Source organism: Homo sapiens, chromosome 15, assembly GCF_000001405.40.
Source record: "Homo sapiens chromosome 15, GRCh38.p14 Primary Assembly".
Classification (NCBI taxonomy): Eukaryota; Metazoa; Chordata; class Mammalia; order Primates; family Hominidae; genus Homo; species Homo sapiens.
In genome coordinates, this window is record NC_000015.10 from 101,525,964 (window position 1) to 101,538,914 (window position 12,951).

Sequence of the window (12,951 nt, forward strand, 5' to 3'; positions counted from 1 at the left end):
AAAAAATTAAATGAGGTTTAAGGATGGGGCCCAGTCTGGTAGTTTGTTCAATTTCTTTTCAAAAGAGCATTGTTTTTGTTTTTGTTTTTGTTTTTTGGCATGAGGTTGTAATCGCTGTGTGCCTGGGGTCGGGAGGCTGACTGACAAGGCAGCTTCCTCCACAGACTTCCAGCAACAGTCCTGCCCTGGCTGCGCTCCTCTCCCCCAGGCCTCCAGGCCACCAGCTTGCAGCCTGTGCTCCTCTGGGGAGGGATCCCCCGCTCCCCCACTCCCAGCCTCGCCCTGACAGTGATCCGAGTTGCGGATTTTGGCTTTCTCCTCCATCCTCACCCGTCCAATTGCCCTCCAGCTCACAGAATCATTTTCTCAAAATTTTCAACTGCTAATGACCCTGTCACCAGGCCACCTGGCAGGGAAGCCCACTTGTCCCCTACCAATAGGCCCATGGTGTCTTGGAGGCTTTCCTGGTCTCCTGGGACAAGACAGCTGCCCGGCTTGTAGCCAGGACTGTGCCTGTAGCCCACCTGCTGTAAGGTCACGCCTGCAGGCCCTGAGTTTTACCGGCAAGATCTAAGTCAGTTCTCTACCAACACCCTAAGGCAGGTACTACTACTTTCTCCGTTTAGAACTGGGGAGAGTGAGATGCAGAGAGCCCCTCCCCCGACCCTAGGCAGAGCCCGAGACTCGCCGCAGGCTCATGCACTGTGCCACCTGCCCTCCTGAGGCCACGCTCTTCTCACGGGAGGTGGCCCTGTGGCCTCACCTGGGCCGGATGGGAATTGCAAACTTGAAACCACTACGTCTTTTTCCCTGTTTTTATTTTAAAAAGGATATTAAACGAACATATCTTTTAAAAATTAAAGTGAATTGAAGTTCATTTTCATTTTATCCTGAGAGGTTCACAGTAGCTCTTGAAATAAATGAAAGTGACTTTAAACGGGCTTTGTTTTGAGGTGATCTCAGCAGCTCTGAGGATACGCACAGCAGTCTTGGAGTCTCACAAAACTCGGCTGGAAATCTCTGGCCCCAGAGGGAGGAAGATGCTTCTCTATTTCTACCTGAGGCCTTCCTTAGGCTCCTGGTCAGGAAGGGAGAAGAGACCCCGGGCAAGGGGTGAGAAGTGGGGGTGGGGGAGTCTTGCCCCTTCCTCTGGACGACAGAGCCCATTACTAGAGGGAATTTCAATGGTGTTTCCAACCCCAGGTCTCACCCAGGAAGGAGGAATCTAAACAAACTCAGCTGCCAGTGGCTCCCCCATAGCGACAGTTTGAGGCCGGATTCACTGAAGTTTTCACAGATGAGTCTAGGTAAAGTTGTGGGGGTTTTTGCTGTTGTTTTGTTTTGTTTTGTTTCTTTGAGACAGGGTCTCAGTCTGTCGCCCAGGCTGGAGTGCAGTTGAGTGATCTTGGCTCACTGCAGACTCCAACTCCTGGATTCAAGTGATTCTCCTGCCTCAGCCACCCAAGGTGTGAGCCACCATGCCCAGCTAATTTTTGTATTTTTAGTAGAGACAGGGTTTTGCCATGTTGCCCAGGCTGGCCTTGAACTCCTGAGCACAAGCGATCCGCCCACCTCAGCCTCACAAAGTGCTGGGATTACAGGCATGAGCCACCGTGCCCAGCCAAAGTTGTGGTTTTAAGCAGGATGTTCCAAAGTCCAGTGGTTATGACCAAACGCCACACAGAGACAGAAGCCTCCCGCACAGCCCCAACTCCCAGCAGCCATGGTGTTCCAGGTCCTCCAAAGTCAGCTTCTCCTCCAGGAGGCCACTGAGCTCCCCAGCTGCGGGGCTGAGGCCACACAGCCCTGTGCGGTTCATCTGCCATCCGGGCCCTTCTTCCTCTTCTGAGCTTCACAGTTAGCCCAGGGAAGAAAACAGGCGTGTCTTCCACAAACCCTGAAGGGAATGGGAAGTGCCAACAGTGAGAAGGACTTAGATGTAAAGGATTTACACACGGTCACGGCATTTCCACAACCCTCTGGGCACCTGAGTACACGTGTGCAGACACACCCCCAGATGGGGGCGAGGGGTGGGGTGCCCCAGCTATTCACACCTAACCATGAGCGTGTGAGGCAGCAACACTTAAAGGCCACTTGCTTTCCGCAGCATCTCGATGGAGCAGGAGCCTGCCTGGGGCATCTCCAGGCAGCTTGGCTGAGCACCCAGGACTGAGTGCAACCCTCAGCGTTTACATTTTTTAGTACTATTCACTAAGAGAGAGAGAGACAGAGAGACAGTGATAGAGACAGGGAAGGACAGAGACAAAGAGAGCAATGGGTGAAGAAAGAGCAAGCAAGCAGGGATGTCGGACATTTCACACAACGCAGTCACCAGGGAGGCAAGAACACTTACAGAACAGTTTGAGCCAAAGAGTCACTCAGGGACAGGAACAGCAATTTCTTAAATATTTAAAGCAGACACCCTGTGAGCGGCTGTGGAGGCGGCTCTTTGTTAATATTTAACACGAGCTGGGCAGTTGCCGGGAAAACAGCTGTTTACAGGAGAGATTAACCAATATTCATCATTGCTCAAAGCTGTGGGGAGGCTTCAGGGGACAGGCAGCTGCCGGTATTTCTAGAATACAGCAGCTCAAGGCCACAGGGCTGGGGAGGCTCACGGTGTCCCCAGGGTGCATGAAAACTGTAAACAGGCAGTTCGGGGTCACCTACCCTGCTCCAGAATCACGGTTTGCAGGAAACCCAGCCCTGCAGCTGGGCCTGGGTGGTGGCTGCTGGCCGGCCAGCCAGCACCTCGCTGGACAGCTGCGTCCCACAGTCCCAGGCTGGGCTGTCCTTCAGGCCCATCCACAGTCCCAGGCAGACTCCTCGTGCACTCCCTGCATGAAGTCGGGGGCAGGTGCTCGAAAGTAGAGGGGTTCCCACTGATGGAAAGTGTCACCAGCCTGCCTGCGAATCCCCCAGCTCACACTTGGGCTTGCAGGGACACCAGCCAGGCCGTCTTGCAGAGAAGACAAGCTGCCTATTTTCAGGGGCTATGAGTCTTGTTCATGACAGTTTTCTCCTCTATGTGCCAAACATTCAAGAGCCTGGCCATTTTCACACAGCCCCATAGCCTGGGTGAATCAGGCCTCACTCCCCTGTACTTCCTTCCAAACATTCTATCACTCCCAACACCCTCCACCCAGGCCTCATGGAACTACACACAGATCACGCTTGGGCCCAACTGGATGCGGAATCCCAGCTCAGGACCAAGGAATGCTGCTGCTGTCTCCACAATGCCCTAGACCTGCAACCCTGGGCGCTTCCTGGCATACCACTGCCCACTCTGCCCACACCACAGCTGACTGACTCCTAATGGCTCTTCAAACAGTTGTTTGCACACCTGACCATTTATTATAAAGGAAGAAGCGCCGAACAGCACGTGCTGCTCTGAGGAATCTGTACAAGAATTGGGGCTCTGCGTATTAATCTTTGCTAAAATGAATTTAGTTTGGGTATTTAGGTTTCACAGCATAAATATATTTTTCTCTACTCTGAGACCAATTGGCACAGGCTGTCTAAGGCATTAGAAGAACAGTCCTTAATCTTTCTGTGTTCACAGCATAGTTCTGAATACCAGAAATCTAGAGGAATGCTTGAAGAGGTTTTTAAAAAATTAAACAACATTAAAGGAGTCAGCAATGATTTCCATCTCAGCAAAACAGGGGCCCTCAGGGTCCAGAAACATCCATGGCCATTGAGCAGTCACTTGGTCATTCTTGTGGATGCTTTTTTTGAGATGGAGTCTTGCTCTGCCACCCAGGCTGGAGTGCAGTGGCGTGATCTCGGCTCACTGCAACCCCTGCCTCCCAGGTTCAAGTGAGTCTCCCGCTTCAGCCTCCCAAGTAGCTGGGATTACAGGCATTAGCCACCACGCCTGGTTAATTTTTGTATGTTTAGTGGAGATGGGGTTTCACTATGTTGGCGAGGCTGGTCACGAACTCCTGACCTCAAGTGATCCACCCGCCTCGGCCTCCCGAAGTGCTGGGATTACGGGCGTGAGCCACCACGCCTGGCCTTCTGGATGCTTTTTATTTTGTGGTTATGCAGCATCAGGACAGCCTTTTAACATTTGAGAAGTGAACCGTCTTAGTGGGAGGCAAAACCCTGCTTCCCTCTACAGAAGCCTAAAAGGCCAAGAACGTGCACTCCCTGACACCGGTGGGGGGTAGCAGGGCTGTGCAGCCACATGCCCAGGAGGCACGGAGACTTCAGGGTCCGTCCCCCCATTCCCAGGTGGCAGAGCAGTGCCCCAGTGTCCTGGGTGCGAAGAGCAGTGGCTAGTGCATGCTCAGCACCAGCAGTGTCCTAGCCACATGTCTTGGGGCTATAGCTGTGGCCACTTGGCACCTCCAGGTTCCTGACCCTTCCCCACAGTGACTCAGCAGGGAGTTGTCTGTGAGCCACTTGATACCCTTTTACAATATTCCCTTTCTGATGATTAACCAGAAGTGCTTTGCAGGCGGGAAGCCTGGTGCGCACAGTCAGGGTCTGCCCTGTGCTGCTGCTTGAGGACTGTCTCCTGCCCTGACGGTGCTCTTCAAAGCTGCCGCGGGCCTGCTTGATGTAATGCTCACTTCTGACCTCTTTGCCCATGCAAGGCACACCCTGCCCTGCCGTCCCTCCCACCCCCTTCCTCCTTGGCATTCTGATGGACTCAGTGGTCCCCAAAATTGCACACATCAATTAAACCAGCAGCACACTCATGGAGGGCGGGTGGCGCCCTGGGTGCTGCTGTGTGCCAGCTGTCAATCACCGTGGGCTGGAATGTGGATTACAAGCCTGGAAGGGGTATCGCGCACTCAGGGTTTAGCCACAGTATACAAACGGCTTTTCCACCTTTCCTGTCCTGAAGGCCACAGCAGGGCCTGCTCTGCTCCCTGCGGCAGTGGTCCTCATGCTTGGCCAGGTGACTAGGCATACTCGCAGTTACTGCAGGGCCACTGTGTCCCCGGCTGAGCCTCGTGCCACAGAGAATTGGTCAGAGAAGAAGGCGGCTTAGAGAGGGTCCGGTTGGCCTGCAAGCCTGAGCCCCTGCCCAGGTGGAGATTAAATCCTTGTTACCTGATGGTATTGACGCTTAAAATTAAAACTGAGTTCAGTTACTGAAAATAGAGAAAGGGCCACTTCTATGCTCCTGAGATCGGAAGTGAGGTTTATCCCCCCGGGGATCTGAAGGATCATCCACTGGGCTTCCCTAAAGCGGCATTGTGTCATTTCTCCCGGCTAGGAGAGGTCTCCCCATTCTCAATTCCCGTCACTTATTCTCACTCAACAGAACCTCTCAGAGCACCTACCGTGTGCATGAGCCCAGTGTCGATGGGCCACGGGCCAGCCAGCCTGGGACGCGTGTCCAGGGCAGCTGGGATTTGGACTCTACTCCACGAGGCCACACAGGGGAAGGGGAAGCCCAGACGGCTGTCAGGGCATTCTTGGGAGCCGGGGGTTTGGAAGGGCTGTTGGGCGTGCTGGGGCACCGGCTAGGCTGTGGGGTGGTGACTCTCCTGCAGCCTTGGGGGGCTACCCTGAGATCATCTGTCACCCCACTGCTTGCTGCTCACTCCTGATCCCGCATTCTGGCTGTGGGCAGAGAGCACTGCCTGCCACATGCTGCGACCCGTGGCCCCTTCGCCAGTTTAATTTTCTTTTGTGCCCGTTCCCCCCTCAGCGTTCTAGTATTTTAATGTGTGTCCTTTTATTTGCTTGTGTCCCAGTATAAGACACACTATTCTATTTTGGTTTCTAAAATTATTTCTTTACTAGATTGAACCTTTTTAATTTTATTTTTATTGTGGTAAAATATATGTAACATAAAATTTACCATTTTAAATATTTTCATATGTACAGTTCAGTGGCATTAAGTATATTCACACTGTTGTACAACCGTCACTGCTATCCACCTTCAGAGCTTTTTCATCTTCTCAGTCTGAAACTTTGTTGCCATTAAACACTAACTCCTCATCCCACCTCTGCTCAACCCCTGAAAGCCATCTTCCTTCCTTTCTTTTTCTTTCCTTCTTTCTTTCTCTTTCTCTTTCTTTCTTTCTTTTTCTTTCGCCCTCCCTCCCTTCCTCCCTTCCTTCCTTCCTTCCTTCCCTTCCCTTCCCTTCCCTTCCCTTCCTTCCTTCCTTTCTCTTTCTTTCTTTCCTTTTTTTTGAGACGGAGTTTCGCTCTTGTTGCCCAGGCTGGAGTGCAATGGTGCGGTCTCAGCTCACTGCAACCTCCACCTCCTAGCTTCAAGCAATTCTCCTGCCTCAGCCTCCCAAGTAGCTGGGATTACAGGCACCCACCCCCAGGCCCAGCTAATTTTTGTATTCTTTTTAGTAGAGACGGGGTTTCACCATGTTGGTCAGGCTGGTCTCGAACTCCTGACCTCAGGTGATCCCCCGGCCTTGGCCTCCCGAAGTGCTGGGATTACAGGGGTGAGCCACCGTGCCCGGCCCCCACCATTCTACTTTCTGTCCCAATAATTTTGACAACTCCAGGCACCTCACATACGTGGAATCACAGAGTATTTGTCCTTTTGTGCCTGGCTTATTTCACTCAGCATAAGGTCCTCAAGGTCTGTCCCTGTTGTAGCACCTGTCAGAATCTCCTTCCTTTTCGAGGCTGAGTCATCTTCCCTTGCCTGCGTAGACCACGTTTTGCTTATCCACTTATTCCTTGTCACTCAGTACTGTTTGGTACTCTTGACCTACATAAGGACTATTTCACTCTTGGCCTCGATGGGTTTCTATGTTCACTCAGCACCAGAACCTCATAGTAGTTTCCTGCCTCTGTGCACATCTGGGCCGTTGCTTCTAATGGGGACCTGGCGTCCCGGGGGTCCTCTGCACCTGACTTCCCCTCTTACCCGTGACACAGGCCCCCAGCCTGGGACGCTCCTGCCGCAAGCCTCAGTGTGCAGGTCTCGTTTATCATTATCTGTGTTTCCGCATTTTATGTTTCCCACCCTTCTTGCTTCCATTTGGCTCTGTTACGGTTCCTCTGTCTGCTTTCCATTATTAATACTGCCCCTTAGCTGAGAATACCTATGACACTTAGTATAGATTCCGATGGGTGACTGTGGCTCAGTGTGTTTTCTCCCTGGGAGAGAGAAGTGCCCCGGGGCCTGCATTTGCCTTGATCTTAGGTGCATGTCCTCCTGGGGACAGGTAATGGGGAAGGTGCTGAAGCTCAGGCCCGGGGTGTCTGTGGCCCCCATGAAGGGGGTTATGAGATGGGAGATGAGCCCTGAGACCATGAGGTTGCTTCTGTTGCCAGCACTTTCCCTAACTCACAGTTGTAGGTGGCCCTGAGAAGAGGTGGGTTTTTCAGGTTGCAGAGCCCACCAGCCCTGGGGAGCAGAGGGGGCAGCCAGGAGGGGTGCCCGAGGAAGGCTGATAGGAATGTACCCAGCCTCTACCCATGCACGCCTGGGACTGGACCCTCACCAACACAAGGCGGCTGGGCTGGGATTGCTGCTATCCCAGAGGAATGGAATAAAGTGGGGTGGACACAGGAGCAGGACTTCCAAGCTCTCCCCACCACTGCTCCCTGCCCTGGCCCTGGGGCTGCTCCCACCCACACCCCTCACGGGTCCCAGTGGCCTCAGGCTTCCCCGGGGCTCTGTGGTTTCATGCTCCCTCTCCCCAAGGTGTCTCCAGGGTCGAGCCGGGCAGGGGTGCAGCCCATGCTCTCACTGAAGCCCGTGGCTCTTCCGGTACCTCCACGGAGTCTGACCCGATTTCAAGCCCTTGGTGGATGCTGACGGGACCCCTGTGGACTACCTGTATTTTCTCTTCATCCAAATGTTGGTGGAAGGAAGGAAAGAAGGAAGGAAGCAAGGACTCCCCATTGAGCCCACCTTTAGCACTCCTGGGAGGGCCTTCCCTACACTGGGCCTCTTCATCTCCTCATTCCCGGCTCTGTCCTCTTCTGAAAACTAATTTCCTCCATCAGTTCCCACCTACCTGGCCAGGCAAAGGACAGCTGGACCTGGGTAAAGTCCCCTAACATGAGTCTGCTTAAATGGAGAGCAAATTTCACAGTCAATAGTGAAAAAAAAACACAAAACACAGGGTTTGACTGGAACCTACGTAAAAAATGAAGCACATTTGTGTAAATTATTTATATATTATATATCAATATATTGTGAAAAATTGTATTTAAATAAATTACTTGATATGCAACCCTGAGCCAATTTTTAGAATGAAAGAGGAAAGGAAGCTATTATTAATTAGTTTTTTTGGCATAATTGTATATGCGCTTACAAAATTAATAGCAAATAGTTAACACCACTTACTGTGTGCCAGGCACCATGGATGTGTATCTACACTCATCTAATGCTCACAGCACTCACCGAGACAGATCCCATTTCTATCTCCATTTCACAGGTGACAAAGCTGAAGCACAGAGAGCTTCTGTGCATTACCAGGTCACGCAGCCAGTGTTAGGAGGGCTGGGGTCTGAACGCGTACCCCCCTGGGCTCTGCTGTGTCCTTTAAGTTTCTGACTTCGGCATCCGATCATGAATAGGGTCATCTCACAAAACCCTGAAGGCCTCGTGGCTTTTCCCCAGGCCCTCTCTGACGCTGTCTTGGAAGCTGCTCCCTTCGAAAGTGCGCACTGGGCCAGGCGTCATCTTTCTCACTTCTCTCCTCTTTGGCTGTAACTGACCTGCCTCCTGGACTTGCTTTTCGTGTGTGACCCCAGCAGCTCTGCCCACCCTGCGCTTTGCTTTTCAATGGATTCACCCAGGTTACACTGTGTTCTTCCATGCATGAGATCCAGGAGTCATCTACTACAGATCAGCTCTGATGCTGAGTGACGGGCAGGGCGAGAGGCTGGAGATGCTGGAGCGGGACTGACTGTATAGGTCGTTTACTTCCTCACTGAGCCGGCTTTGTGTCCGCTCTGATCAGGGCCCCGGGGAGGTAGCAGTAGACAAGACAGCCACAGCCCCCCGTTTCCATGGAGAGGACATTCTGTTACCTTCGAACAGAGGGACACACACACACAGATAAGAAGGGAAACAAAGCAGGTAAAGAGTATAGGAAGTGCCCGGGGTGGGCTGAGGGGTTGCAATTTACATAGTTGGGCCAGAGAAGACATCTGCAAGATGGAGAAATCCGAGTAAACATTGAAGAAACCCAGGAAGGGGGACCCCGAGGGAACAGCCAGGCCCTGGAGTCGGGGTGAGGGGAGGAAGAGCCGAAGCTGGGAGCAGAGGAGCCGAAGGCGAGGGCACTGGGGTGACAGGGCCGGATCTCGCAGCCTTGCCGCAGCCTCAACACTGGCTTTGTCTCGTATGGGACAGGGAGCTGGCGGAGGGTAGGGCCTTCAAACAGCAAAGGGACATGTGGCTTGTACGTGAAAGAGCCACCCTTTCCGCGTGTTGAGGCAAGACTGCAGGGGCACATGTGCATGCAGGGAGGTGAGGCCAGGCGCTTGCGATGTTCCAGGCGGGAGGTGGTGACCACAGGGCCCAGGGTGGTGGCAATCATGGGGGCAATAGTGGCCCCATGGAGGGCGCACTTCCGTGTCCTAAAGTAATGGTGTGGAAGGAGGGGAGTCAAGAAGACGCAAATGCATGGTGCGTGCGACGGAACTGCCATTCTCCGGGGTGGGCGAGACAAGGTGGAGCAGGGGCCAGAGACCCGAGAGGCCCAGGTGTGCAGGACAGGCCAGTGGGAAACGCGTGTAGGGTTGTTTGCACAGATGGTCTTTCAGGCCAGGAGAATTCTCGGCTCATGGGTAGAGGGAGTGTTGATTATATGGGAAGTGGCTCCCATGGAGTCCCCGGTGGTCAATGGGGAGAGGAGGAGGGAGAGACCAGCAGCCAGTGGAGCCCAAGGCAGGCAGAGACAAGGATGAGGACCAGACCGGTGCTGGGTGGGGCAGCCTGGGGGCGAGTGCTGGCCTTGGCAGAGCCGCTGGGAGGTGTGGGGGTGAAAGCCAGGCTGCTTTTTACAGAGAAAGGAAGAAGAGGACTTGGAGACAGCAGGATAGACAGCCTATCATGGAATTTTCCGGAAAGGGAAAGAGAGAGATAGGGCAGTAACTGGGGGGATTGGTAGGGAGTGACTCAAGGGAGGATTTCTTGTTTGATGTTTGTCTTTTAAGACATGAAAAGAGAGAAATAACCATGTGTTTCTAGCCGATGGCCGTGGCCCAGGGGAAGGTCAGGAGTTGCTGGGCCTGTGGAGGGGTGTCCTCCAGAAGCAGGATCTGGGGCCAGGAGGAGCCGCTGGTCTTGTGGGGCGGGGGGCGGGGGTGGACGGCGCAACCCAGACACAGAAGGAAGGGCAGAGCCTCGGGGCCCACAGGCAGCACTGGGGGTGTGGGGACTTCTCCCATGGCCTCTGCTTTCCCAGGGCAGAGAGGGGAAGGCTCATCAGCAGAGAGAGAGGAGGAGGCAGGAGGGGACACGGCCCGAACCCCAAGCAGCTTGCTCACTCTGTGGGATGTGTTGCCACCGCCATGCTCTCTTTTCACAAGAAGGTGTCCCAGGTGGACCCTAGACCAGGCGTGGTTGGTGGAAGTCACCGGAGGGGCCTCACGGTGACCCTGGAGAAGGGATGGCCTGGAGTCCACAGCCTCCCCTGGCACTGGAAGGTCCCATGGAACAGCCTCCTGCTAGGTGGGCCCAAGGCCAGCCCAGAGCTGTGGGAGCAGCGTGGGGACAGACCCGGGGAAGGTGGCAGAGAAAGAACCCCAGTCGGGTGGTGGGTGGTCCCCAGCTCAGCGCTGTCCTGGGGCCAGTGATTCGGCCTCCGGGCCCCAGCTTCATTGTCTGGGTCTTCCTGGCAGGGCAGTGGCGAGGAGTTCTACGAGCTAACGGGAGTGGAATGCCTGCCCTTTCTCATCTCCCTGACGTGAATCAGTTTCTCCAAGTTCTTCACCTAACAGAGCAGAAATGGTGACTCGCGGCCACACCCGGGGCTCTTAGTCTTGGAGGCCTGTCCCCGCCCCATCTGCTGCTGCCCACAGGGAACCCTCCTAGAGCCGTCACGGGGCATAAGGCCCAGGGGGCCTCGCGAGCTGATCTTTCCTGTGCGGAGCCAAGGATGCAGCAGAGGGTGTGCTCACGGCGAGGTGTCCCTCTCCGGAGGCAGCTCTTCAGGGTTTGGCAGAGGAGAGGAGCGCAGTGACCACCCAGCACTGCCCTAAGGTTTGCAGGCACCCGGGAGGGACAATGGCTCCATGGCGGGCGGAGGCCGAGAAGCACTTGGCAAGCTAGCTGGTCCCATCTCTGGATCCTAAGACATTCCCTTCTGCTGTTATTCCCAGCTGAGGAAGGCCGCCGGGATCAGTCGATCACTTGTGTTCCTAAAATGTGCTGCCTGCAGATGCCGTTCTGACAAATCTGCAGGGGCCACAGTGAAGCTCTGCAGGCTTGCCTTCTGCCTCTGGGGATGGCACTCTCATCCCATCCTGGAGTTACTGCCCGGGCTCCCCTCTCATGCTGGCCCCACCTGTGCCCCAAACACAGCACTCCTTACACGGCCCTCTCCCTTGCCATCTGATGGCTGGATGATCAGGAGGGAGCTTCTGAGGGCTGCCTTTCCATGCCATTTAATGGGGAAGGAAGGGGCTTTCTCTCCACTTTTTCTTGCTTCCCATTTAGTGTGTTCTTTCCATTTACACAATGTGTTCTCCAATCTTGGATAGCTTCTGTTCTTATTTAAACTTTTTAAAAAGGGATTCATACTCAACATACAAATGAGGAATGCAGCTGAAACTGGGAGACGTGAGGAGAAGCTTTTTTTTTTCAAGTCAGTGCAAATATTTTTGGAATTTAATTTTCCTTAGAAAAAAATGCCTTGCAGACAGAGCGTCTGCATCCTGTGTTTGAGCACCAGTGGTCTCTGGTGTCTTTATTTGTAAACTCAACATGATGATATATGACCTCACAAACCCTGACTTCCCCCCTAGCAAAATTAGAACAGTGGCTCCTCTCTTCCTCCAGCCAGTACTTCCCCTCTCCTTCCCCCTCTCTTCCTCATGCCTCTACCCTTTCCTCCCTTTCATCTTCTTGTTTGGTTGTGGGCAAATATGATGACACCCTTATAGGAAAGACTTAGAACTAACAGACAAGGAAAGTCTATAAAGCAAGCCTGTGCCACTTAATTGCAAAGCACATTTCAGCCCAGGCATTCTGAAGGGACACAGACAGAGGAGAAATGCTATCCACTCAGAGAAAGCAGAGATACAGGAGAGCAGTATGAAAGGCAGGCCACCATGCCACCATGTATGTTCAGCCTCTGGGACATAGTCTTCTTACTGGACAGATGGTTAAAATGGTGGCAGATAAATAAATCTCCTTTCCAAGTCATTCAGGCCAACCCCAGGAGGATCAAGCCATATATATGCCTTGTGGAGGGACCATCTTCCCTTGTGACCAGTGCTGTCTGGCCAGCAGCTGTCCCCATTACTGTCCCCAGGAAACCCCAGGTTGGGGGTGAAGGCAGCCAACAGTTTTCACGAGGTGGGTTGTGGTGATAGGGCCCTTGGGCAGAGCCATGGTCTACCATCTTTTGATTTTCCCTCATGGATGTTGTAAAACCCTTAGAGTTCCAACCACAAGTTATTGGTTAAACGATGATATTTCCATACGTGTGTGAACCATACAGCTATTCAAAGTGAGTACTGGCATGGTTAACCATTAATAATGCGTTTGGGAAAAACACAGGCTAGAAAACACATCTTTAGTGATAAAAGTCAGAGAGTGTGCAAGCGTGGGGAAAAGGGTGGGTATTGACCAGCAAGGGGCATAGGGAACCCTCCAGATGCCAGAAATGTTCTCTGTCTTGATGGGTGGGGGGATACAAAGGATTATAGACTTATCAAATCATTGAGCTGTATACTCAAGATTTGAGCCCTGCATTGTGTGAATGTTATACCTCAATAAAAGGGAAGCTGTAAGTGTAGCATGAAAATATTATGAAATTTTAACATGGCAGATTGTGT

At 53.1% G+C, this 12,951-nt stretch overlaps 1 long non-coding RNA gene across 1 annotated transcript, besides 2 other annotated features; it reads right to left on the bottom strand.

Moving 5' to 3' along the window:
• On the bottom strand, window positions 802–2,411 carry LOC124903567 (uncharacterized). The gene is made up of 2 exons (XR_007064784.1): window positions 2,354–2,411; window positions 802–1,897 (listed from the first exon to the last, which is right to left on the bottom strand). It is a non-coding gene; the product is annotated as an uncharacterized LOC124903567 (long non-coding RNA).
• Window positions 4,356–5,014: an enhancer, noted in NCBI's record as "H3K4me1 hESC enhancer chr15:102070522-102071180 (GRCh37/hg19 assembly coordinates)". NCBI's record gives its function as "activates a minimal SCP1, AML or CMV promoter by ChIP-STARR-seq in primed H9 embryonic stem cells {active_cell/tissue: H9 hESC(primed)}" and the evidence as "EXISTENCE:reporter gene assay evidence [ECO:0000049][PMID:30033119]".
• Window positions 10,385–10,886: an enhancer, noted in NCBI's record as "H3K4me1 hESC enhancer chr15:102076551-102077052 (GRCh37/hg19 assembly coordinates)". NCBI's record gives its function as "activates a minimal SCP1, AML or CMV promoter by ChIP-STARR-seq in naive H9 embryonic stem cells {active_cell/tissue: H9 hESC(naive)}" and the evidence as "EXISTENCE:reporter gene assay evidence [ECO:0000049][PMID:30033119]".